A 26,678-nucleotide genomic window follows, 5' to 3' on the forward strand; every position below is an offset into this window, starting at 1 on the left:
GGAGGAGGATGGTGGAGTCCCGCCAGGGAGCTTTGTCAAGTGCCTCTGTCATCTCCACTTCCTGGATCAGTTACATCATACCCTCCAGGGAAGTGTCCCGGGGGATGGCCAGATCAGCCTGTCCTTTGTGGCAGGAGGTGGGGATTCTGACGGTTGTTTTCACAGCTCGGGAGGACAGGCAGCTCTCACCTCTGTTTGCCCTCCCTGGCCAGTGCAGCCAGCTCCTGAGTCTCGTGGTTAACTAAGGTCTCAGACCTCAGGCTGAAACTGCTACCCTGCTGTGTGACCTTGGGGTGGTGGTCACCTAAGTTCCCTTAGCCTCAGTTTCCTGCCTGGAGAGATGGGAACGATGATAGCTACTAGGTATTGTGAGTCTTATAGATAATGGCAGCCTAGGGCCAGGCACCGAGTAAGGACTCAAAGAATAGCAGCTGCTATTTTAAAATTTAATTTAATTAATTTATTTTTTTGAGATGGAGTCTTACTCTGTTGCCCAGGCTGGAGTACAGTGGCGCGATCTTGGCTCACTGCAGCCTCCGCCTCCCAGGTTCAAGCGATTCTCCTGCTTCAGCCTCCCAAGTAGCTGGGATTACAGGTGCATACCACCATACCTGGCTAATTTTTGTATTTTAAGTAGAGATTAAGAGATTAAGTTTCACCATGTTGGCCAGGATGATTTCGAACTCCTGACCTCAGGTGATCCGCCCACCTCAGCCCCCAAAGTGCTGGGATTACAGGCGTGAGCCACCGCACCCGGCCCCAAACGTCTTGATGTGTCTTTCTCTGTCACATGCACTGCACCTGCTGCAGCAGGAAGGCCAGGTGGCCTTACCTTCAAAATACCCAGAATGTGACCACTTCTCACCAAGGTCTGCTGCCGCCACCCTGCTTCAAGCCCCTGAGTCCTGTGCCTGGACCCTTGCAGGAGTTCCGCACTGGGGTCCCTGGCAGCTGATTCCCCACACAGCAGCTGGAGGGATCCTATTCTGCTGGAGTCAGGTCACATTGCTGCTCTGCTCAAGAGCCTCCCATGGCTCCCGTCTTACTTGGAATAAAAGCTGAAGTCCTGACGGTGCTTCAGCCTCCAAGGCTCTGCGTGATGTGGCTCCATTCTCTTTCTGTCCTCTTCCTCGCCGACTGTCCCCTCCATTCATTCTACTGCAGCCACACTGGCCTCTCTGCTGTTCCTGCTGCACTCGGGGCACCCTCCTGCCTCAGGGCCTTTGCACCTGACCTTTCCTGCCTGTCTCCGTCTTCCCCTAGATATCAGGGTGTCTCACCCCCTTACCTCCTGTAAATATTTACTTACATGTCACCTTCACAGAGAGGACTTCCCTGGTCCCTCTATTGAAAACCACACAGCCTGTTTTTGTTTTTTTTTGGTAGCACTTGCCATTATCTTACCCGCCATTTCCCTGGTTAGTGCCTGTTCCCCAACTCCAGCTGCACCCCACTAGACTGTGAGCTCCAGGAGGGCAGGGTTTTTGCCTGTTTTGTTTCCTGCTGAATTCCCAGTGCCTAGAACAGTGCCTGGCATAAGGTAAGTGCTCAATAAACATCGGTTAATTCATTACCAAGTGAAATGAACAAAATATCTGAGAAGCATAAGAAGAAGAAGAGGAAAAATGCTAAATGATCACCCGTGCTGTGCAGGCATGGGGCTGGGGAGCATCGCAGTAGCTCTGACAGTGGGCTCTTGTAATGATCGTGACTGAGGAGCTCTGGGAGACCTTGCTCAAAGTGCATACAGTGTCTGCGGGTGGTGGCTCATGCTTGTAATCCCAGCACTTTGGGAGGCCTAGGCAGGCGGATCACCTGAGGTCAGGAGTTTGAGACCTGCCTGGCCAACATGATGAAAATTCTTTTCTACTAAAAATACAAAAATTACCTGGGCGTGGTGCCATATGCCTGTAATCCCAGCTACTCAAAAGGCTGAGGCAGGAGAATTGCTTGAACCTAGGAGGTGGAGGCTGCAGTGAGCCAAGGTCACACCACTGCACTCCAGCCTCGGTGACAGAGTGAGACTCCAACTCAAAAAAACAAAAAACACACACAAAAAAGTGCATTCGGGCATATGGCCCCTCTCTTCCGGAGGGAGGGCCCTCTGAGATCTTTCTGTTAGCCCCTTATACCTGCTCTAAGCCAGTATGTGTTTCCACCGCTTGCCCAGCTTTCTTACTACCCAGTTTTCACGCATTCATCATTCTAAATGCAAAAGCACCCCAAATGTTCTAAAGACTCAGTGCTTGATAAGGCCCCTGGAACGTTTTTTGCCTTCTGCCCTTCCTTTTGCAGGACTGGTGTTTCTGCACACCCTCCACTTTCTCCAGCCCCTGTGCAAGTAAGGCTCCACCCCAGACCCCCTACTCAAGGACAGTGGTTCTCAAAGTGGGGCGATTTTGCAACCCGGGTGTGGGCATTGGCCAATGTCTGGAGACATTTTGGGGTGTCAAGCCTGGGATAGAGGGTGCTATTAGCATCTGGTGGGTGGAGGCCAGGGCGGCTGCTATGCACAGGACTGGAAGATGTAACGTGATCTCCTGCAGTGCACATGACTGCCGCTCACACCAAAGAATGATCTGGCCCCAAATGTCAGTAGTGCTGAGGTTGGGGAATATGGGGTGAGTCCACCTCCAGGTGGGGCACTTGTCATCAGATACCGGTTGAGTCATGAGTCCTGGGTCTGGGGGGCTGGGAGGTCAGTCAATTACCAGAATGCAGAAGTCTGAAAAACATCTCAAAAGACCAATCTAAGGTTCTATAATAGCAATGTTTCTATAGGAGTAATTGGGGAAGTCACAAATCTTGTGACCTCTGGTCATATGACTCTCTCTCTTTTTTTTTTTTTTTTTGAGACAGAGTCTCACCCTGTTGCCCAGGCTAGAGTACAGTGGTGCGATCACAGATCACCACAGCCTCGAACTCCTGAGCTCAAGGGATCCTCCTGCCTCAGCCTCCTGAGTATCTGGGACTACAGCTGTGCCACCACACCCAGCTCATGTTTTTTTCTGTTAGTAGAGATGGGGTCTCAGTATGGTGCCCAGGCTGGCTTTGAACTCCTGGGCTCAAGGAATCCTCCCACCTCAGCCTCCCAAAGTCCTAAAGTTATAGTCGTGAGCCACCACTCTCAGCCCTCACATGACTGTTAAACAGTAAGGGATTACAGAGATTGCACTTAGATTGTAGCAGAATTCAAGCCCCTTTCATAATCTCAATTTCATGATCTTTTATTAGTTTTACAAAAGTGATTTCAGTCCCTGAGCAAGGAGGGGGTTAGCTTTGTTTTTTTTGTTCTTTTTTTTTTTTTTGGGACAGAGTCTTACTCTGTTGCCCAGGCTGGAGTGCAGTGGCATGATCATGGCTCACTGTAGCCTTCACCTTGTGGGCTCAAGTGAGCCTCCCACCTTAGCCTCCTTAAGAGTTGGGACTACAGGTGTGCATCATGCCTGGCTAATTTTTATTTTTTGTAGAGACAGGGTCTCACTATGTTGCCCAGGCTGGTCTTGAACTCCTGGCCCAAGCGATCCTTCCACCTCAGCCTCCCAAAGTGCTGGGATTACAGGTGTGAACCACCGTGACTGACTTTGCTTCAAAGTTAAACTATAAATTAAATTAAATTCTCATGGTGGGCCAGGCATGGTGGCTCACACCTGTAATCTCAGCATTTTGGGAGGCCAAGGTGGGAGGATTGCTTGAGGCCAGGAGTTCGAGACCAGCCTGGGCAACATAGGGAGACTCTGTCTCTAAAAAATAAAAATAAAAATGAAATTGGTGGGCACGCACCTGTAGTCCCAGCTACTCTGGAGGCTGAGGTGGGAGGATTGTTTGAGCCCAGGAGATTGAGGCTGCAGTGAGCTGTGATCTTGCCACTGCACTCCAGCCTGGGTGACAGAGTGAGACCCTGTCTCAAAGAAAAAAGAATTCCTCCCATGGTTGGCTTGGCCTATACCTGGGAATGAGGATGGCCAGCCCATGAGGCTAGAAGCAGGCTGGAGTCCGCAGCCAGTGAGGCTAGAAGCAGGCTGGAGTCCGCAGCCAGTGAGGCTAGAAGCAGGCTGGAGTCCGCCGGGCTGAACTTCTCACTGTCATATTCTTTGCAAAGGCAGTTTCGGCCTCTGTGAATTCTTTCAGCTCAGACGCTGTGGCTGTGAATTTCTATCTGTTGGGACAAGAGCATCCAGGTTGGATGTGGGGTCCCTGGAAGATTGGTCCCATGGCCTATTTGCTGGGCAAGCTGGAGCAAGTTACTTAACCTTTCTGTGCTTCAGCTTCTCCCTTGATCACTGATTCCTTTCCTTTTCAAGGGCAAGAGGACAGAGGGAAAGTTCCTCTGTATAAAGGTCTCAAAGGTAAACACTTACAAGGGGTCAATCAAGGGGCGGTTAGGTGTTGGGGCTGCAGTAGGGAGAGGTTAGGACAGCGAGACACATAGAGCCATGTCCCTTTACAGAGGACAGTGTGCCCCAGCTCCAGCCAGGGGGAATGTGACCTCCCAGTGTGAGACCCTCTCTGGTCTCCAGTGCTCCAGTGATTTGTCATCTTGGCCAGGGTTGATGAGTCTGAGAACTTAGGTAAGATGCTCTGTTGTATTGGGTGTTGGGAGACCTGCACCCGAATTCCGGCACAGTTATTACTCACTAGCTGGGGCTGCCTGAGCCTCAGCTCTTTTGCCATTTAGGGGAACTAAGCCTTCGGCCTTGGGAAGCATATGACGAAGAGTCCAGGGTTAAATCTGCAAATTGGGAAAGGAAAGGCTAATCTCAGGCGTCAGAGGCTTCGTCCCTCTTCTCCACGCAATTCCCTTGCCCTGGGAACAGGAAGGTCAGCCAGGGGTGAGGATGGTGTAATGAAGCTTAATGAATAACCCAGGGGACTGGCCGGGGTGGGTGTTTTGCGGCCCAAGGTGTCAGGGACAGGGGCTGGCTGACGAACATGGCTCTGGTGGGGACAGGTCAGTGACCTGGCCCACCTCTCCAGCCTCATCTGCTCTCCAATGCAGCCACGTGGCTTCCCCAGCCCATCCTCTTTGTCACCCAAGCCAGGAGCTCTGGAGCCTCGTCCCTCTGGGTCTGAGCCCTGACTCTGCTACTGCTGTGTGACCTTGGGAAAGCGACTTGGCCTCTCTGGCCCTATTTCCACAATGTAGGGTTTATTATAATACTTACTTTTCCAGGTAGTTGTTAGCATTCTGTAATATAATGACATCATGGTACTTTGAACGCTTACGTGCCACCTTTGCAACTTTTGCCATATTGTCCCATCACCTCTTTTATATTAGCAATACAAAACAATAGCAGCTGGGCGCCGTGGCTCATGCCTATAATCCCACCACTCTGGGAGGCCAAGGCAGGCAGATCACTTGAGGTCAGGAGTTTGAGAGCAGCCTGGCCAACATGGTGAAACCCTGTCTCTACTAAAAATACAAAAATCAGCCAGGCGTGGTGGTGCAAGCCTGTAATCCCAGCTACTTAGGAGGCTGAGGCAGGAGAATCCCTTGAACCCGTGAGGCAGAGTTTGCAGTGAGCCAAGATCGCGCCATTGCACTCCAGCCTGGGCGACAGAGTGAATGGTGAGACTCTGTCTCAAAAAACAAAACAAAATAAAGCAAAAGCAACAGCAGCGAACACAGAGCACTAACTACTGTCCTAATATTTTCCTGCATTAATGCATTTGATCCTCACATCCACTGTACTAGGGAAGTAGTGTTTTATCCCCATCTTACATTTGAGGGAACAAGGCACAGAGAGGTTAAGTGACTTACAAAAGGTCACAGGGTCACACAGTGAGAAAGTGGCAGAACAAGTATTTGTATCAGAGCCTGGCTGCAGGTCTGTGTTTTAACTACTAGGCATGCTGCTTGTTCATGCCAGAAACTACTACTACTATTATTGCTACTAATAATTTATATACAAATATATATATTATATACAAATATATATATATTTATATACAAATATATATAATATACAAATATATATTTATATACATATACATATTTATATACAAATATATATATTTATATACATATATATTTGTATACAAACATGTATATTTGTATACAAATATATATATTATATACAAGTATATATATTTATATAAATATATATTATATACAAATATATATATTTATAAACATATATATACACACACACATATATATATTTATATATGTTTTTTAAGACGGAATTTCGCTCTTGTTGCCCAGGCTGGAGTGCAATAGCACGACCTCGGCTCACTGCAAACTCCACTTCCCCGGTTCAAGTGATTCTCCTGTCTCAGCCTCCCGAGTAGCTGAGATTACAGGCGCCCACCACCATGTCCAGCTAGCTTTTTGTATTTTTAGTAGTGATGGGGTTTCACTACATTGGCCACGCTCAAACTCCTGACCTCAGGTGATCCAGCTGCCTCGGCATCCCAAAGTGCTGGGATTACAGGCATGAGCCACCATGCCTGGCCAATTAATATATTTTTTAAAGAGGCTCCATTTTTAAACTTTAATACCTACCTTAGCTTCTTCCTAAGCCATCATATCCATGAAACTATGGGTCTGATATTTTATATGTACATACACATACATATGTATACACATATATATATACCTACATACATACACACATCTTTCCTAATGCACACAGAAATAGATTGCCAACTATTAAAAAACCTTTGGGGGCTGGGCGCAGTGGCTGTTGCCTGTAATCCGAGCATTTTGGGAGGCTAAGGTAGGAGGATTGCTTGAGGTCAGGAGTTCAAGATCAGCCTGGGCAGCACAGTGAGACCTCGTTTGTAAAACAAACAAACAAACAAACAAACAAACAAATAAACAGTGTGGGTTACGCTGGACAGCATGCACGTGTTGGTGTACAGTAGACATGCACTAAATGCAGCTAGTCTGCTTCTTGTCAAAGTCTGAGCTGTGTGCTGAGTCTCTGCCTACTTCAAGAAGCCCTCCCTGATCTTGCCCCATCCCCAGCTACCCTATGGGGACTTTCTGCCCTCTGTCATCTTAGGAAGTGTTATTGTTGCTACCGAATTGGGTGTCTTCCTCTCCCCTCCATGCTGGGGGCCACTTCAAGGCACAAACTGGATTTTATCACCTCTGTGTCCCCAGTACCCAGTCCAGGACAAGGCACCCAACAAGGATGGATGTGTGTCTAAAGCGAGGATGGGTAGAAACTTGCCAGAGTCCACATTAAGGATCACGGCCAAGCAGCTCCATCTAACCCCAAGTGGCTGGGAGTTAATCATCAAACCTGGGGAGATCAGAAACAGCCCAAGAAGGACACACAACATCTGTGATGCCAGGTCTTCCTGTTCCCACTTTCCACATAGGGAAACTGAGGCCCAGAGATGGGCACGAGCTGCTCAGGTTCACCCAGTGAGATGGTGCAGAGACAAGACATGAATTTGACCATGTCATTCCCCCCACCTAAAGCCTTCTGTGGCTCCCTAGTGCCCCTGGGTAAGGTCCAAACTCTGGATTGGTACAGGCATCCCTGTGGACTCTGATCTCTGCCCACATCTCCAGCCTCAACCCCACTTGCTTCCCCACCCCTGCCTTCTCCCTCCCAGCCCCACTGGATACTACCCTGACCCTGGAATATATCATGTTTTTCATTTCCAGACCTTTGCACTCCCTGTGCCTGACTCCTGGCTCCACTCAGACTTCCCCTCCTCCAGGAAGCCTCCCCAGCCCCCCAGGGCCAGGCGGGGTGCCTGCTCTGGGTTCCACAGCCCTGCCCCACCCTGCCAGCTGCTAACATCTGATAGCACTAATAAGTGCTCTCTAATGGCCCTCTCTAAGGGCTTTGTGAAGGCAGAGGACATGCTATTTTGTTTGAGGCCAAAGTTCCAGGGATTGGCACATAGTAGGTGTCCAATAAACATTTAATGAATGAATGAATGGTCAGTCATTCATCTGAGTAGCAAATAATTGCTTGGGTTCTCATGCTGCGTGTAAAATATCCGAGACGGAGAGGTGCTTCAGACAAAAATATACCTTTCCCATGTCACAAATAATAATTATAATAATTGTTTCCTTGGCCAGGTGCAGTGGCTCACGCCTGTAATCCCAGCACTTTGGGAGGCAGAGGCAAGCAGATCACCTGAGGACAGGAGTTCGAGACTGGCCTGGCCAACATGGTCAAACCCTGTCCCTACTAAAAATACAAAAATTAGCTGGCGTGGTGGTGGGTGCCTGTAAACCTGGCTACTTGGGAGGCTGAAGTGGGAGAATCGCTTGAATCCAGGAGGCGGAGGTAACAGTGAGCCGAGATCGCACCATTGCACTCCAGCCTGGGGGACAAGAATGAAACTGTGTCTCAAAAAAAAAAAGTTCCCTTGTCCTTGTTTTCCCATCCCAGACCTAAGCTGACCCCAACAGTGGTTCAGCATCCGGGACAATCACTAGACCTAAAATGAGAAGACATGGAGATGCCTGCATCCCGGAAGAGATGGCCCAGGGCCAGGGGTAAAGGCTGTCTCTGCCCCTTGCTGTCTGGGAAGCTTTGGCCAAATAAGTTCCCTTTTCTGAGTTTCAGTTTGCTCATCTGTCAAATGAGACAGGGTGGTGCATGAGTCATAGGCAGTGCCCGGGAAAGCGGTGAGGGTTGCTCTCATCCCCTCTCCTCCTCCGTCTTCACCCGGAGGCTTAGGGTCTGGAGCTTTCTCTTTAACAAAGGAGGAGGGACCAAGGTTGCCGGAAGCTGCCTGAAGCTGGACAGAGCCGGTTCCTGGAAAGAGCTGGTTCCCTGGCAGGCTGGAGGGCAGGAGCTGGGGCCACGCTGGTCTGGGATAGTTGGGCAGGGAGGTAAGGGGTCTGGGGCCAGCTGGGGCCCCTGGGGCTCAGTGTGTGTGTGAATGAGAGGCTGATGAGAGGCTGCAGGAGTTTGGGAGGCTTTGGGCAAAGTCCAAGCTGAGCAGGTGGGAGTGAGAGGGCCTGAGCGTGTTCTAGGCCCTCCTGGGAATGTCGATTGAATTCAGGGTGCCCTGCAGAAGAAAGTGTTGTGCTGGGGACCCTGAAGGGCGAGAGTGGGTTCTGCCTGCCAGAGGGGCAGGGTTGGGCATTCTGCCAGCCAAGGGGCCAGCCCGAGGTGTCCCAGCCCTGGCACCAGGGATTTGGCTGTGGAGTGCCACCAAGGTGGCCTCTGGGGAAAGGCTTTGGGGACAAGTGAGGTGGACAGCACTGGTGGTCCTTACCTCAACTCATAGATGTGACAGGTAAGGCCCAGTGACAAAAGTGACTTGGCCAAGGTTGGCATGACTGGGACCTGAGCCTGAGCCCCCTGCTTTCCCCTGGGTTATTCCACAGCAGGGAGACCCAGGTCCCCCATTTCAGCCCTGGTGGCTGCCATACGGGACAAGAGGTGTGTGTCCCTGGGCCAAGACAGCTCAGTCCCAGACCTCAGGTGCCTGATGGGGTCTGGGGTTGATAAGGCTGTTGGCAACTTGGGGCTTTTTCATTTAACTGATGCCTGCTGTCCTCTTGTGAGTCAGTATAACCAAGAGGGCTGGGGAAGCCTGGAAACTGAGCCAGGAGCATTTGGTTCCAAAGGACAATTGGCAATAAATATTAAATGCATGCAGCTTTCATAATAGTAACGATAACACTAGTATATTAGAGAAAGTATAGCATCGCGGTTAATAGCACAGATGCCAAAGACACTGCCTGGTGTGAATTCTGGCTATGCTGTTTCTAACTGTGTGAACTTGGATAAGTTACTTAATCTCTCTGGACCTCAGGTTCACTGTTTATAAAATGGAGTCAATGGTGAGTTAATGACTCATCTGTTGTGAGCCAACAGGTGGCTCACACCTGTTATCCTAGTGTTTTGAGAGGCAGAGACAAGAGATTTACCTGAGGCCAGGAGTTCAAGACCAGCCTGGACAACTCAGCAAAACTGCATCTCTATAAAAATTAAAATATCAGCCGGATACAGTGGTGCATGTCTACAGTTCCAGCTACTCAGGAAGCTGAGGTGGGAGGATTGCTTGAGCCCGGGACTTCAAGGTTACAGTGAGCCATGATCGTGCCACTGCACTCCAGCCCAGGCAACAGAGTGAGACCTTGTCTCTAAAACAAACACCAAAAAAACAAGAAAGCGGAAGGATTATGGAGTAGGGGGAGTTCATCCTGACAATCCCAGGATCCCCAGGGGAAAAATCTGGGGATTTCACCAAAAAGGAAGAGAGACCCAATTCCAAGTGGACAGACACCCAACATGGGTGCCCTTACCATGCAGGCTCATTGAATCCTCACAATAGTCCTGCCATGTACACGCTCTTCTTGCAGTTTGTTGTGTGGTTGGTTGGTTCTCATTTTTCGGGTCTAATTTTTAATTTTTTATTATTTTTTTTGAGACAGAGTTTCCCTCTTACTCTCTAGGCTGGAGTGCAATGGCGCGATCTCGGCTCACTGCAACCTCGCCTCACCGCAACCTCGCCTCTCAGGTTCAAGCAATTCTCCTGCCTCAGCCTCCCGAGTAGCTGGGATTACAGGCATGCGCCACCATGCCCGGCTAATTTTGTATTTTTAGTAGAGACGGGGTTTCTCCATGTTGGCCAGACTGGTCTTGAACTCTTGACCTCAGGTGATCCGCCTGCCTCTGCCTCACAAAGTGCTGGGATTACAGGCATGAGCCACCGCGCCCTGTCTCAGTTCTTAGTTTTAATGGTCACTTCCTCTAAGAGGTCTTTCCTGACCTCCATACCCAAAGTAGGTCCCCTTGTTCTTCTCTTTAGGACTCCCTATATGCGTGTTTCCCTCTTAGAAGTTTTCAACATTTCTGATTATTTTGTTTGTCTATGCAGTTATTTGTTAAGTGCCCATCTCATCAGGCTATAATTCAGCTCCAAGGTTGATGTCTATCTTGTCCACAGTGGTATCCCCTGTTGCTAGGTCAGGGCCTGCATCTTGTAGGTGCCCTGTAAACATGCTAAAGTAAGGGTAAGCAGGTCACCATGCTCAAAGCATGACACAAGGTATCAGTGAGATAACGTCTCCAGAGGACTCAGCTGATGACTGGCACATAATAGGGACTCAACAAATGACAGATGTTATTCTCTCTCTCTCTCTTTTTTTTTTTTTAAAGACAGTCTCACTCTGTTGCCCAGGCTGGAGAACAGTGGTGAGATCTTGGCTCACTGCAATCTCCACCTCCCAGGTTCAAGCAATTCTCCCACCTCAGCCTCCCAAGTAGCTGGGACTACAGGTGTGCACCACCACACCCGGCTAATTTTTGTATTTTTAGTAGAGACGGGGTTTCACCATGTTGGCCACGCTGGTCTTGAACTCCTGACCTCAAGGGATCCACCCGCCTCAGCCTCCCAAAGTGCTGGGATTATAGGCATGAGCCACTGCACCTGGCCAATGTTATTCTTATTAACTTACACCACAACCTGTGAGTTGGGGACTGTTTTTATCCCCATTTTAGAGAAGGGGAAACAGGCACAGAGAGGTTGTGACACTTGTTTGGGTCACACAGCCAGGAAGTCGGAGCTGGTTTCTAACTTTTGCTTCTGGTCGACCCCAAAGCCTGTGCTCTTGGGGTCCAGGGTTGAGCTGAGGCCTAGGCTGGGGTATGCGGCATTTGGGGATCAGTGATGACCCATGGGCTTCTTTCCCCTGATGCCCGAAGCTGAGAGGTGCCCTGGGTGGGACTGGGAAGAGGTGGCTCAGGCTGTGCCCTGCCCGAGGGGGCCCTGAGGATTCTCAAGGCTATTCTGACAAGGGCGTGGGGTCAAACTCAGGGCCAAGAGACCCTGATCTCTCTGATCTTGGAACCCCAGCCATGACTTAAGGGTGGACAAGAAGGTTAGGTTTGTGAGTGGGCAGGGGAAGTTGCAGCGCCCCCCCTAGCGGCCAATAATGGAATGGTGGGGACCGGCCCAGTGCTTTTCTGCCTGGGACAAGAGGAGCTGGCTGTATTTTTTCCTTTTTTTTTCTCTACTATTTTTCCTCCCTCTCATTTCCTCCATCTCTTCTTTTCGTCCTTACCCACTGGTCCATTCACACACAGCTCCTCGGCTTCAAACCTCTCAAAGGGCTGAGCGCGGTGGCTCACGGATGTAGTCCCAGCACTTCGGGAGGCCGAGGTGGGCAGATCACTTGAGCTCAGGAGTTTGAGACCAGCCAACATGGTGAAACCCCGTCTCTACAAAAAATACAAAAAATTAATCAGGCGTGGTGACGTGTGCCTGTGGTCCCAGTTACTCGGGAGGCTGAGGCAGGAGAATCGCTTGAACCCGGGAGGCAGAGGGTGCAGTGAGCAGAGATTGCACCACTGCACTCCAGCCTGGGCAAGAGCGAGACTCCCTTTCAAAACACCACGACCACCACCAACACCACCACCACCTCCACCACCACCTCCCAATGGCTTTCCATTGCAGGTAGAATTTGAATAACAACCAAACTCCTCTCCGTGGGCGGGAACCCCCTGCTGGCACCCTTGTCCACATCTCCGCCCTCACCCCCTACCCTCACCTCCTGCCCCAAACCCCTTCTGTCTGCATCCGCGGCACCCCAAAGTGCATTTCTCCCTCGAGGTGGTCCTGGCTGCTGTTCTCTGTAGGAACTTTTCCTCTTGGCTCTCTTCCTGTCATCCATTTCAAAGTTCCCCTTTCAAGAACGTACAGATGGAGGCAGAGTTAAAAGACCCCTCAGCCAATCAAAATGCACGGATCTGATTTGCATCCTGATTCAAACCGTGAAAAACCCCAAACCACAACCAACCACAGAATCAGCCACTGATCATATTTAATGGGATGATTTGAAATGTGAACAATTAACAGATATTTGATGATATGAAAAAATTATATTTTTAGATGTGATCATAGTATTGTGATTACATTTTTAAAAAAATTAGCCTCAGTGAGGTATAATTTACATAAAATAAAATTAGCCCACTTTAAGTATAGAATTCAATGTGTTTGAACAAATGTATGTACAGTCATGAAACCATATGGTTACATATAAAAAAGGAGTTCTTAGGCCAGATGCAGTGACTCGCGCCTGTAATCCCAGCAGTTTGGGAGGCTGGGGCAGGAGGATCCCTTGAGCCTAGGAGTTTGAGACCAGCCTGGGCAACATAGTGAGACCCTATCTCTACAAAAAAGTACAAAAATTAGCCAGACGTGGTGATGTGTGCCTGTAGTCCCAGCTACTCAGGAGGCTGAGGTGGGAGGACTGCTTGAGCCTGAGAGGTCGAGGCTGCAGAGAGCTGTGATTACAGTACTGCACTCCAGCCTGGGTGACAGAGTGAGACTCTGTCTCAAAAACACAAGTTCTTTACCTCCAGAGAGACATGCTGAAATATTTACAGGTGAAATAATATAAAAGAATAATAGTAATTAAGGGGTAAATAATGACACAGGAAGGGGGAGTGGGCACCGATAGGGGAGCGAGTTAGACCATGAGTTGATTGCTGAAGCTGAAGGGTTTTTGTTTGTTTGTTTGTTTTTGAGACGGAGTCTCGATCTGTCACCCAGGCTGGAGTGCAGTGGCACAACCTTGGCTCACTGCAACCTCCGCCTCCCAGGTTCAAGTGATTCTCCTGCCTCAGCCTTCTGAGTAGCTGGAATTACAAGTGTGTGTACCATCATGCCTGGCTAATTTTTGTATTTTTAGTAGAGACAGGGTTTTACCTTGTTGGCCAGGCTGGTCTCGAACTCCTGACCTCAAGTGATCTGCCTGCCTTGGCCTCCCAAAATGCTGGGATTACAGGCGTGAGCCGCTGTGCCCCTGCCAGCTGAAGGTCTTTATACAGTTCTCAATACTTTTGCTATGTTTACATTTTCCATAACAAACGTTTTTACAAAGTTTTCCTCCTGAGAGATGTCTTTCATGATTGCTTTTGCTAAAATAACACCCCATACCCTCTGCAAGTCACTCCTATTTGAAATTCTGTGACTTTTCCTAGTGGGAGGTTTTTTATGACTCGTGGGTCCCCAAACCTGGAAATGCCTGGCACATAGTAGGTGCTGAATAAGTATTTTTTGACTGAGGAATGAATTCTCCCACTCTCTCATTCATTTCTCACCATATATTGGCCACTTTCTACATCCCCAGCACAGCCACACTTATGGAATGAAAGGACCCCAGGCCAAACTTCTTTGACCAGATGGGGAAACTGAGGCCCAGAGAGTCACAGATACTTGATGGGGGTCTCACAGCTCAGCAGCTGGATGAAGTGAAGGGCACCTAAGCCAAGGGCTTTCTCCACCTTCCCCTCCCTGTCCTGGTTAAGGGAACTCTTGATGGGGACTGCCTGGGTGGTGACTTTGTGTCCTCCTGCAGGCTGTCTACCTGGTCTCCAGAATGGACGGCCCTGTGGCAGAGCATGCCAAGCAGGAGCCCTTTCACGTGGTCACACCTCTGTTGGAGAGCTGGGCGCTGTCCCAGGTGGCGGGCATGCCTGTCTTCCTCAAGTGTGAGAATGTGCAGCCCAGCGGCTCCTTCAAGATTCGGGGCATTGGGCATTTCTGCCAGGAGGTGAGGGTGTGTGGGAAGGAGGGGAGAAGTGAGGTTGTGCAGGAGGGAGGGAAGAGTGAGGGGTGTGGGCTGGGGACGGGTTCGGGCAGGAGGGGAAACATGAACTCGTGCAGATGGGAGGGGAAAGGTAAGGGCAGGGCTGTGGGCAGGATGAGGGGTAAAGGCGTATTGGGAGTGGGATGGGGAGACTCTAACGCCATTCCACATAGGCCTTCATGACACCTGCTTGGGTTAGCCGCTAACCCCATTCCTTCTCTTCCCAGATGGCCAAGAAGGGATGCAGACACCTGGTGTGCTCCTCAGGTGACCCCACCTTTTTTTGTTTCATGGGCAGAGGTTGGGGGAGGAGGAATAGGCTGGAGCGGCAGTACACATCCAGGGTTGGTCTCCTCTTAAAGGCCCAGCCTCATCAAGGTCATTGATGAGATGACTACTGTGTACATCCCATCCTAGCCTTCTCCCATAGTTCAGGACTCATGATGGTAGCAAGTGCCAGAAACCCAATTCATATAGGTTTAAGCTACAGGCTCTAAGAATGGAAAATTCTTGGGATAAGTGGCTTTCAGGCACAGGGGGATCCAGGAGCTCTCCTCTCTGTCTCTCCTTCTCTGGACTTTGCTTTCCTGCATATTAGCTTTATTTTTAGGTGGGCCTCATGGTAGCAAGATGGCCACCAGGAATTCCAGCCTTGCATCCTACCAGCCTCCCAACCCTAGGGAAAAGGGAGCACCCCTTCTCGATGCCTCGCCTCAATCCTGGAATTGTTTTTTTTTTTTGGCCCCGCTTGGGTGGCGTCTTCATCCTTGAACCAATCATGGGTTGGGGGATTAGGTTCTGATTGGCTCAACCTAAATTATGTGTCCCCCTCTTGAGTGGAGGAAGGAGTCAATGGGGCATATGAATGTTGGGGACGAGTGACTCTGAAGGGATATGGAGGGGGAGGGGAAGGCATATCAAAGGCCAATCAGCTCTGCCCACTGCCCCTTTCCTCCTTTCTGCACAGGGGGTAATGCGGGCATCGCTGCTGCCTATGCTGCTAGGAAGCTGGGCATTCCTGCCACCATCGTGCTCCCCGAGAGCACCTCCCTGCAGGTGGTGCAGAGGCTGCAGGGGGAGGGGGCCGAGGTTCAGCTGACTGGAAAGGTAAGGGCTCTGGGAAGGGGAGAACCATCTGGGTGGGCTGCTCTCCTTCACCTCACCCCACCCCTAAGACATCCTGTCTCCTTTTCCTTTCGATGAGCTGTGGCTGGGACCCAGTCCTCTCTCAGGATAGCTGAGCTGAGGGGGGAATGAGGTGGGATGGGTGTTGAGGGCTGGGATCTCCCAACTTTCCTCTGCCCACCCTGAGAAGTACCCCTCATGTGTGAACCAAGACAAATGGGAAGCTGACGATGAACAGGAGACTGTCTGTCTCCTTATATCCTCACCAGCACCTGGTATTATCTACTTTTAACATTTTTGCTGTTAGATAAGACAAGAAGTATCAAGATGATGGCAGCATTAGTTCTCATTCTGAGACCACCCCAATAGAAATGGTATCCACTGAGAAAGATATCACCGGTTCCCTTTGTTACCAAAGAAATAGAGACACAGATACAAAATCTGTCTTTCCTTCTGTGAAGAAGGAAAAAATCATTCAAATAATGGAAAACAGATTTTTAAACCTCTCGAAATTAAAACTAAAAGCCAAACTATGGTACGTTAAAGCTGGTCCCAAATACTTCCTGTATATAGTTTCTTCCCTTTCTTCTGTCCTTCCTTCCCTCCCTCTCTTCTTCTTTCCTTCCTTCATTATTTCCCTCCTTCCCTCTTCCCTCCCTCCCTCCCTCCTTCCCTCCCTCCTTCCTTTCTTCATTCTTTCTCTCCTTCCTTCCTTCTTTTCTCCTTCCTTCCTTCCATTTATTCATCCATCTAACCATCCTTCCACACATCACCCTTTCTCTCTCCTCTCTCCCTTCTTTCCATCCATCCATCCATCCATCCACCCATCCATCCATCCATCAGATATTGATTGAGCACATATTCAGTACCTGCTATGTTAGACATTCTAGAAACACAGAGATAGTAAGACATGGTCTTTACACTCATAAATTTGAGATTATTATGAGGAGACACACAGGTAACCAGATGATGGTAACAAAGTGTGAAAAGTGTTGCCACGGGGGAAGCACAGGGCACCAAGGAAGTCAGAGAGAAGGTGTGTTGTTTTAATCAGCTATTGTTGCTTGGTAATGCTGCATAACAAACAGCCCCCAAATAGCAGCAGCTTATAAGAAACATTTGTTTCCGATGCTTTGGGTCTGTGGGAGGGTTAGGGTGGTTCTGCTTTGGAATGTGGGGAAGGATTAAGGTCTGCAGATGTCCCCTGTGTCTTCCCCAGCCAGTGGCCACTGGGGGCACGTTCTTCTCAAGGGCAATGGCAAGAGGGGTGAGAAGAAACGCATGACGGCTCTTAAGACCTCAGCCCAGAACTGTTACACTGTCAGTTCTGCCATATGCTGTTGGCCAGAGCAAGTCACACAGCTGAGACCAACATCAATGGGGAGGGGACATGTGCTCCACCCACTCTAGTGAGAAGAACAGCAAAGCCACATGGCAAAAATAAAATAAATAAATAAATAGATAAAAAACCTGGGCACTGTGGTGTGCACCTGTAGTCTCAGCTACTCAGGAGGCTGAGTTGGGAGGATCACTTGAGCCCAGGAGTTTGAGGCCAGCCTGGGCAACATAGTAAGAGCATGTCTCTAAAAATAGTAACTATTAAGCCACATGGCAAGGTGTAGGTGTATGATTCTAACAGAGGGAGGCAGTGGAGAATTGGGCAGTGGTCAAACCAATGGGCTGTGCCTTAGATTTGGGGAAAGGATCCAGGACAGGCTCCCAACAAGGGTCCCCAGGGTTGGGTATTGAAGGAGAAATCTGAGTCCCCACAGTGGAGAAAAGGGAGGGAATGATCTGATTGTGAACAGAGGAAAAGCTGTGGGTGAAGGTGTGGCGTGGATGAGCACGGTGCATTCAGGCTGAGCCCAGCGTCAGGGAGGGATGGTGAAAGGTGAGGCTGAAGAGGGGCAGAGTTGCTCCATCAGGCAGGGTGGCTTGTAGGTGAAGCTAATGTGTTTCCACCTGAGAGCACTAGGGAAGCATGAAAGGAGTTTGAGCAGGGGAGGGACCTGGTTGGATTTTCACTCTGCCTGCTCTGGGGCAATGCAGGAGAGGAGCCAGAGAGGAGGCTGCTTGGGGCCCTACAGGTGAGAGATGTCAAGCACTACACGGTTTTGAATCTATTTTTTTCTTTAGTTTTAATTTCAGATTCAGGGATACATGTGCAGGTTTGTTACATGGGTATATTTCATGATGGAGAGGTTTGGGCTTCTAATGATTCTATTGTCCAAGTAGTGAACATAGTACCAACAGGTAGTTGTTTTTTTTTTTTTTGAGACAGAGTCTTATTCTGTCGCCCAGGCTGGAGTGCAGTGGCATGATCTTGGCTCACTGCAACCTCCGCCTCCCAAGTTCAAGCAATTCTCCTGCCTTGGCCTCCCAAGTAGCTGGGATTACAGGCACCCACCACCACACCCAGCTAATTTTTTTTTTTTTTTTTGAGACGAGTCTCGCTCTGTTGCCCAGGCTGGAGTGCAGTGGTACAATCTCGGCTCACTGCAAGGTCTGCCTCCCGGGTTCACACCGTTCTCCTGCCTCAGCCTCCCGAGTAGCTGGGACTACAGGCCAGCTACTACAGCCACCACGCCTGGCTATTTTTTTTTTTTTTTTTGTATTTTTAGTAGAGACAGGATTTCACCATGTTAGCCAGGATGGTCTCGAACTCCTGACCTCGTGATCCACCTGACTTGGCCTCCCAAAGTGCTGGGATTACAGGCGTAAACTGCTGCGCCCAGCCTAATTTTTGTATTTTTAGTAGAGACAGGGTTTCACCATGTTGGCCAGGCTGGTCTCGAACTCCTGACCTCAGGTAATCTTCCTGTCTCAGCCTCCCAAAATGCTAGGATTACAGGTGTGAACCACTGTGCCTGGCTGACAGGTTTGTTTGTTTGCTTCTTTCTTTCTTTCTTTCTTTCTTTCTTTCTTTCTTTCTTTCTTTCTTTCTTTCTTTCTTTCTTTCTTTCTTTCTTTCTTTCTCTCTCTCTCTTTCTGTCTCTCTGTCTCTCTCTCTCTCTGTCTCTGTCTCTCTCTTTCTTTCTTTTTTTTGAGACAGTCTTGCTCTGTTGCCAAGCTGGAGCGCAGTGGCGCCATCTTGGCTCACTGCAACCTCCACTGTCCGGGTTCAAGCGATTCCGCTGCCTCAGCCTCCTGAGTAGCTGGGATTACAGGTGCACGCCACCACACCCGGCTATTTTTTTGTATTTTAGTAGAGACGGGGTTTCACCATGTTGGCCAGGATGGTCTGGATCTCCTGACCTCAGGATCTGCCTGCCTCGGCCTCTCAAAGTGCTGGGATTACAGGCGTGAGCCACTGCGCCCAGCTGACAGGTATTTTTCAACCTCTGCCACTCTCTCTCTCTCCCCACTTTTGGAGTCCCCAGTGTCTCTCGTTCCCATCTTTGTGCCCATGTTTATACCCAGTGTTTAACTCCCAGTTGTAAGTGAGAATATGCAGTATTTGGTTTTCTGTTCCTAAGTTAATTATCTTAGAATAATTGCCTCCAGCTGCATCCATGTTGCTGCAAAGGACATGATCTTTTTTTGTGGCTGCGTAGTGTTCCATGATGTATATGCACCACATTTTCTGTATCCAATCCACCATTGATGGGCACCTGGGTTGATTCCATGTCTTTGCTATTGTGAGTACTGCTGTGATGAACACACAAATGCAGATCTTTTTGGTAAAATGGTTTATTTTCCTTTGGGTAGATACTCAGTAATGGGATTGCTGGGTCAAATGGTAATTCTATTTTTAGTTCTTTGAGAAATCTCCAAACTGCTTCCTATTGGAGCTGAACTCATTTGCATTCACACCAACAGTGTATTTTTTGTTTCAGTAACTCAGGGGAATGAGACTCTTCTCTTCAGCCAGATGGGAAATTCCTTGCAGTCAGAGACCATTTCTTGGCTTCTCTCCTGCTGAAGAGTCCCCATACCTAGAACTGGGCACAGAGTGGGCACTGCAGAGTCCCTGAGGATGAGCAGGGGCTAGTTCTGCCCCCCTTGTGACCCTCCATCCCTCCCTTGGGAGAGGAGGCCATTGTCTACCATTTAGTTTCTGTATCTGGTTCCTGCTGAGATCGGCTGGCATGGGGTCCCTCTGAAATGCTGTCTTAGTTTGGATTCTCCCAAAAGCGGTCCCTGAAATGAGGACTGGGGTGCATGTGGTTTATTTGGGAGGTGATTGCAGGAAGCATTGGTAGGGAGTGTAGAAATGAGTCAGGGAAGGGAAGAAAGCCTGTCAATGGTGTGTGAATGAGCAGGGGACCTGGATCTCTGCCACAGAGGCCAAGCCAGTGAGAAGAGAAAACTCACCCCTGCTGTGGTTGCCTTGGGTCCATCATGGTCAGGGCCGGCCCTATGTGCCATCTCTCTGGCTGCTTGAACTCAACTAGCAGGCCATCAGCTGGGCCATTGCTGGTTTCCACGGACACACTCTATGGTGACCAAGTTGCTATCTGGTGTTTGACTTTAGGGGGCTTCTCCCCTACTGGTTGGCTAGAAGTGGGCACCATGTGGCTGACCTTGGAGCTGACCCGCTCCCAGCCTCCCTGGCTGGCCTGGCCTGGTTTTCATAGTGTGGCAGTAGGACAGGTCGCTTGGGTATTGTGGAAAGCACATGGCATCTGTTTGTCCGCCTGGAAGTGCTTGTCCAATTCTCAGGAGGCCTCTGGGCCCACACCAGGTATGGTCTCATCTGCAGGGCTGTCCCCAGACTACTAGATCCTGGGGCCACCAAGGAGATCCTGGGCCTCTGCTCCGGCCTCCATAGCAGTCCCACTCCCGGCTGTTCTGAGGGCCCTTGGTTTCTCTGTAGGTCTGGGACGAGGCCAATCTGAGGGCGCAAGAGTTGGCCAAGAGGGACGGCTGGGAGAATGTCCCCCCGTTTGACCACCCCCTAATATGGTAAGGCTGACGCCCCTCTCCCCAGGAGTCCAGAGCTGGGAGACCTTCACTGAGTCAGGGTCCTCCCATTGGGCAGAAGGAGAAACTGAGGCCCAGAGGGGAGAAGAGGCTTCAAAGCCAGGCAGACATGGGTTCAGATCCCACTTCTGCCCCCTTGTGAATTGTGGGACTTTGTGCAAAGCACCCCAGATCCTGTGCCTCAGTTTCTATGTGTGTAAAATGGAAGTGATAGTACCAAGTCTCCTTTACTGAATATGTGCTTTGGGACCAGGCACCAGGCTAATGGCTCCTCCTGCACTGTTCTATTTACCCTCCCCAAAGCCCTAGAGGTGGGTGCTATTATCCCCATTTCATAGGTGAGGAAACTGAGGCACATCGAGGTCAAACAACTTGCCCCGGATCACACAGCTAAGTACATGGCAGATACAAAGGGCTGCAGTCAGGCTGGTCCCAAGTGATACACTTGTCCCCTCTTAACCACACATTGCCATTGCCTCTTTGCAAAGTTGGGGAGGGGGCTAAATTGGGATAATGTCCAAGAAAGGGCCTGGGAGGTTGATGGAGATGGGAAGGGATGAGCAAACAAATACATAATAAAGAAAATGAATGAGGCCAGGCGCGGTGGCTCACGCCTGTAATCCCAGCACTTTGGGAGGCCGAGGCGGGTGGATCACCTGAGGTCAGGAGTTCGAGGCCAACCTGGCCAACATGGCAAAACCCTATCTCTACTAAAAATACAAAAATTAGCTGGGCGTGGTGGTGCGCACCTTTAGTCCCAGCTACTCGGGAGGCTGAGGCAGGAGAATCGCTTGAATCCAGGAAGTGGAGGTTGTAGTGAACTGAGATCGTGCCACTGCACTCCAGCCTGGGTGACAGAGTGAGACTCTATCCAAAAAAATAAAAATAAAGAGAATGAATGAAGCTGAGTGAAGTAACTGTTGCAGGACTTCCTCTCCCCTCACCGTGGATGGGATGGGGATGGTGGGGAGGGGTTTATGTATATGAGGGGGCAGAGAACCCACCCCTGGTAAATTCCCCCACCACAGGAGCCATCTGGGCTGGGGTCCTCCCTCACTCTGCTTCTCCCTCTCACCCCCCCTCCCCAGGAAAGGCCACGCCAGCCTGGTGCAGGAGCTGAAAGCAGTGCTGAGGACCCCACCAGGTGCCCTGGTGCTGGCAGTTGGGGGTGGGGGTCTCCTGGCCGGGGTGGTGGCTGGCCTGCTGGAGGTGGGCTGGCAGCATGTACCCATCATTGCCATGGAGACCCATGGGGCACACTGCTTCAATGCGGCCATCACAGCCGGCAAGCTGGTCACACTTCCAGACATCACCAGGTGGGTAAGGGCTGGGGACATTTGTAGGGGCTGGAGGGTGGGTGTGCCACTGTCCTAGGGCCTTCCAGTCCCAGCCGGTGGAGACGGGGGCACCCAAAAGGCTGTCCTTGGTCCTGGGACTCCAACCACAGTAAAGTGGACCTGAGTTAGAAGGCAGTGCTGAAAAAGGAGATGAGGAATATGATTCATGTAAACCTAATCAGTTCTTAAAACAAGCTTTCATTGACTTATCATTACAAAAGCAATCCATGTGTGTTGCAAATAAGTTTGAAAATGTAGGCCAGGCACCATGGCTCATGCTTGTAATCCCAGCATTTTGGGAGGCTGAAGCAGGTGGATCACTTGAGGTCAGGAGTTTGAGACCGGCCTGGCCAACATATAGTGAAACCCTGTCTCTACTAAAAAAATACAAAAATTACCTGGGCATGGTAGCGCACGCCTGTAGTCCTAGCTACTTGGGAGGCTGAAACGGAAGGTTTGCTTGAGCCCAGGAGTTTGAGGCTATTGTGTGCTATGATCGTCCCTGTGAATAGCCATCGTGCTCCAGCCTGGGAAACTTAGCAAGACCCTGTCCTCCCCCAAACCCCCCAAAAGCCAATAAATTTTAAAAAGAACATGATCACTGAATTTAGGACCCACCCTAATCCAGTATGATTTCACCTTAATTTAACTAATTACATCTGCAAAGACTCTATTTCCGAGTAAGATCACATTTTGAGGTTCTTGGTGGATGAGCATTTTTTTTTTTTTGAGATGGAATCTCACTCTGTTTCCCAGGCTAGAGTGCAATGGCGCGATCTCAGCTCACTGCAACCTCTACCTGCTGGGTTCAAGTGATTCTCCTGCCTTAGCCTCCCAAGTAGTTGGGATTACAGGCATGCACCACCACACCCGGATAATTTTGTATTTTTAGTAGAGACGGGGTTTCACCATGTTGGTCAGGCTGGTCTTGAACTCCCCGACCTCAGGTGATCTGCCCACCTTGGCCTCCCAAAGTGCTGGGATTACAGGCGTGAGCCACTGCGCCCGGCAAGGACACACTATTTTTGAGCACCTCCTCTGTGACTTATAATGCTGAGCTCCAACCAGCCCATGGCAGGATGGGAGGGGGTGGCTGGGGCTGGGGAGAGACCTGTTTCACCAGCTCTTCCCTGAGCCCCTGGTCTCCCTGCCCCACCCTGCTCTATCCTGCAGTGTGGCCAAGAGCCTGGGTGCCAAGACGGTGGCCGCTCGGGCCCTGGAGTGCATGCAGGTGTGCAAGATTCACTCTGAAGTGGTGGAGGACACCGAGGCTGTGAGCGCTGTGCAGCAGCTCCTGGGTGAGTGATCCCTGTCCTCCACCTGGGCTCAGAGACCCACGAAGTCCCTGCATCCTCTAGCAAGAGTGTGTTCTGTCTTATCTGTATCCTCAGCACCAGGCACTGGCTAGGTGTGCAGTTACTGTGCACTAAGTGCACGTCGAGTAGATGGAAGGGGGTGAGGATAAAGAAGGAGTGTATCTTGCTGTCTCTAGCCCCCAGACTTTCATACATGCTGCTCCTCTCTCTGGCTGGCCCTGCTCCCTATTGGTTTGATGTGACTGAGGGCTATCAGCCATCATAGCACCTCCTTCAGGAAGCCTCCCTTGATCACTCACCCCACGCTGCCTGGGTTGTGGACCTCCAATGCACCACTCCCTGTGTTCATAACCTCCTGGTTCTTATCCCTCTACATCACTGATGTGAGCCCCATGAGGGCTGGTGTGTCTTAGTCCCTGACGTGTCCCTAGGGCCTTCCTGGCATAGGGCATGGCAGGTAGTAGGCACTCAATAGATGTTTGTTGATTGAAGGGATGAATATATGAGTGAGTGGAAAGGTGGGTAATGGATAGATGGACAGTGGATGGATGGACGGATGGATGGATAATGAAGTGACGGATTGATGAATGGTATAGAAATGAATGAATGGACAGACACATTGATTAATGAACATGTTGATGGATGGACAGACAGTCAAATGATGGATAGAGGAATGGATGGATGGCTATGAATGGGTGGATGGATGGATATGTTGATGGATGGGTACACTGATGGATGGACAGATAGATAGTCTAATGATGGATAGAGGAATGGATGGATGGATAGAGAGATAAAAGGTGGATGGTGGAAGGATAGGAGGCCAGGCTGATGGATGGGGAGAGCGTGAGACAAGTGATGGATTGCCAGCAGAGCAGATGAATGGCTGACTGGCTGGAGAGATGGCTGCAAGGATCTGCCGTGCCCAGGGCCTGCTGAGCACCGAGTGGTTCTTCTTCCCTTTCCTTCCTCTCTCCATCCCCCGATCCTGGCAGATGATGAGCGTATGCTGGTGGAGCCTGCCTGTGGGGCAGCCTTAGCAGCCATCTACTCAGGCCTCCTGCGGAGGCTCCAGGCCGAGGGCTGCCTGCCCCCTTCCCTGACTTCAGTTGTGGTAATCGTGTGTGGAGGCAACAACATCAACAGCCGAGAGCTGCAGGCTTTGAAAACCCACCTGGGCCAGGTCTGAGGGGTCCCATCCTGGCCCCAAAGACCCCTGAGAGGCCCATGGACAGTCCTGTGTCTGGATGAGGAGGACTCAGTGCTGGCAGATGGCAGTGGAAGCTGCCCTGTGCAACTGTGCTGGCTGCCTCCTGAAGGAAGCCCTCCTGGACTGCTTCTTTTGGCTCTCCGACAACTCCGGCCAATAAACACTTTCTGAATTGAGTTTGCGAATGCTATGGATCCTATCTTTCCATGTCAGTGAGCTCACAGGAGACACACCACAATCCTGTTGCCACTTCTGTAATAAAGTGACTCCAAGCCCCATCTTAGGCAACAAAGCCAAGACTTGAAAACCTCAGTCTCTAAAGGAATCCAACCATTATGAGATCTTAAATGGGCTTCCTTTACCTGGAGGACCAGCCCAGGTTGACCAGGTCAGGAAGGAGAGGGAGATGTTCTATCACTTCTCAGGCCTAGGCAGGAGAGGAAAATAACACCAGTCTTCATGCAGTGCTTGTTATATACCAGAAACTTTGCTAAGAACTTTCTACTCATTGTCTTCTTTAACATTCACAAAGGTACTAGGAAGTAAAAACCATTATTACCATCCCCATTTTACAGATGCAGAAACTGAGGCTCGGGAAGTTTACATAACTTGCCCAAGACCACATAACTAGGATATGTGATCACTTGTCTCACTCTGTTTCCATCCATCAACCTGACCACCCATCCGTCCACCCATCTATCTTTTATCTCTCTATCCATCCATCCATTCCTCTATCCATTATTAGACTGTGTGTCTGTCCATCCATCAGTGTATCAATCCATCCATTCATCCATCCATAATCCATCCATGCATTCATTCACAAGCCATCCACTCATCCATCCATCAATTCCTCTATCATTATTAGACTGTCTGTCTATCCATCCACATATCCATCTATTCATCTATAATCCATCCATCCATCCACATATCCATCCATTCATCTATAATTCATCCTTCCATCCATCCGTCCATCCATCCATTCCTCTATCCATCATTAGACTGACTGTCCATCCATCAGTGTGTCCATCCATCCACATATCCATCCATTCATCTATAATCCATCCACCCATCCATTCATTCATCCATCCATTTCTCTATCCATCAATAGACTGTCTGTCTCTCCATCCATCAGTGTATCCATCCATCCACATATCCATCCATTCATCTATAATCCGTTCATCCATCTATAATCCATTAATTCATCAATCCTCTGTCATTAGACTGTCCATTCATCAGTGTATCAATCCATCAATATATCCATCCATCCATCCATCTATAATCCATCCATCCATTCATACATTGATACATTCATCCCTCTAGCCATCGTTAGACCCTCTGTCTGTCCATCTATCAGTGTATCCGTCAATTGACATATCCATCTATCCAGATTCCCTGATTTTCAGGGTCACTCTGTATTGCTTGGATCTGAACTCTCTGTGTCGGGGTGGAGGGTGGCGGAATATTGAGGAAAGGGTAGGAAAGGGTAGGTGGGTCTGGACACACCTGTGGGTCACGAGAAGAGGCAGGTTCTGTGCCTGGGATTGGGAACCTCCGACTTCTGGGAAGTCTCTCTTAGAAGTGGGATGGAAAGTTGCACTCCTTTGAGCCACAGGGGGGCAGCAAAGTGTCTCCTATGGGGAAGGCTGGCTCCGGGCAGGAGAGACCCTCTCCTTGGGTCCTCCTGGATGCTGCCTCTTGTGGGGCCCTCACTCCAGCTGGGCATGCTGAGGTCCACACGGTTGTGGCATGCAGGAACCTTTTCCAACCCCTCACAGCTCTGCTGGGAAGCAAAGCTCAGAGAGTGCAGGGTCCGTGCAGCATCACAGGCCCTGGCAGAACCTGGATCCTGGCCCCCAGCGACGTCCTCTCTCCTGACTCATGTGGGCTGTGTGACCTTGGGCTAGTGCCGTCCCCTTTCCAGGCCTCAGGCAGCACCTCGTGCTGTAGGAGGCCCACTTGCCACTTCTCACCTCTTTTCCTTTGCTCAGGCTCTTCCCTTCGCCAGATGCCTCCTCCTTTTCCTTCTTTGTTTTTTAGGGACAGGGCCTTGCTCTGTTACCCAGGCTGAAGTGCAGCGGCATGATCATAACTCACTGCAGCCACGAACTCCTGGGCTCAAGCGATCCTTCTGCCTCAGCCGCCCGAGTAGGTGGGACCACAGTCATGTGCCACCATGCCCGGCTAATTTGAAATCATTTTTTGTAGAGATGTGGTCTTGCTCTGTTGCCCAGGCTGGTCTTGAACTCCTG

General features: G+C 50.1%; 1 protein-coding gene across 4 annotated transcripts, besides 1 other annotated feature; it reads left to right on the forward strand.

The window, feature by feature from the left end:
• Positions 4,466–4,966: an enhancer, noted in NCBI's record as "H3K4me1 hESC enhancer chr12:113855942-113856442 (GRCh37/hg19 assembly coordinates)". NCBI's record gives its function as "activates a minimal SCP1, AML or CMV promoter by ChIP-STARR-seq in naive H9 embryonic stem cells {active_cell/tissue: H9 hESC(naive)}" and the evidence as "EXISTENCE:reporter gene assay evidence [ECO:0000049][PMID:30033119]".
• Positions 8,709–24,605, forward strand: SDSL (serine dehydratase like). 4 transcript variants are annotated; one of them, NM_138432.4, is made up of 9 exons: positions 8,709–8,806; positions 13,459–13,580; positions 14,291–14,485; positions 14,749–14,788; positions 15,489–15,628; positions 20,463–20,551; positions 21,658–21,885; positions 23,080–23,204; positions 24,215–24,605. In NM_138432.4, exons 3-9 carry the CDS (start codon positions 14,312–14,314, stop codon positions 24,406–24,408), a joined length of 990 nt encoding a protein of 329 aa, NP_612441.1. In that variant the 5' UTR covers positions 8,709–8,806; positions 13,459–13,580; positions 14,291–14,311; the 3' UTR covers positions 24,409–24,605. The 4 variants fall into 4 exon arrangements, with proteins under 4 accessions (NP_612441.1, NP_001291922.1, XP_016874252.1 ...); NM_001304993.2 differs by lacking the exon at positions 13,459–13,580; XM_017018763.2 differs by lacking the exons at positions 8,709–8,806; positions 13,459–13,580 and adding an exon at positions 12,226–13,316.
• The last annotated feature ends 2,073 nt before the right edge of the window (positions 24,606–26,678 follow it).

This window comes from Homo sapiens, chromosome 12 (assembly GCF_000001405.40).
Source record: "Homo sapiens chromosome 12, GRCh38.p14 Primary Assembly".
Classification (NCBI taxonomy): domain Eukaryota; kingdom Metazoa; phylum Chordata; class Mammalia; order Primates; family Hominidae; genus Homo; species Homo sapiens.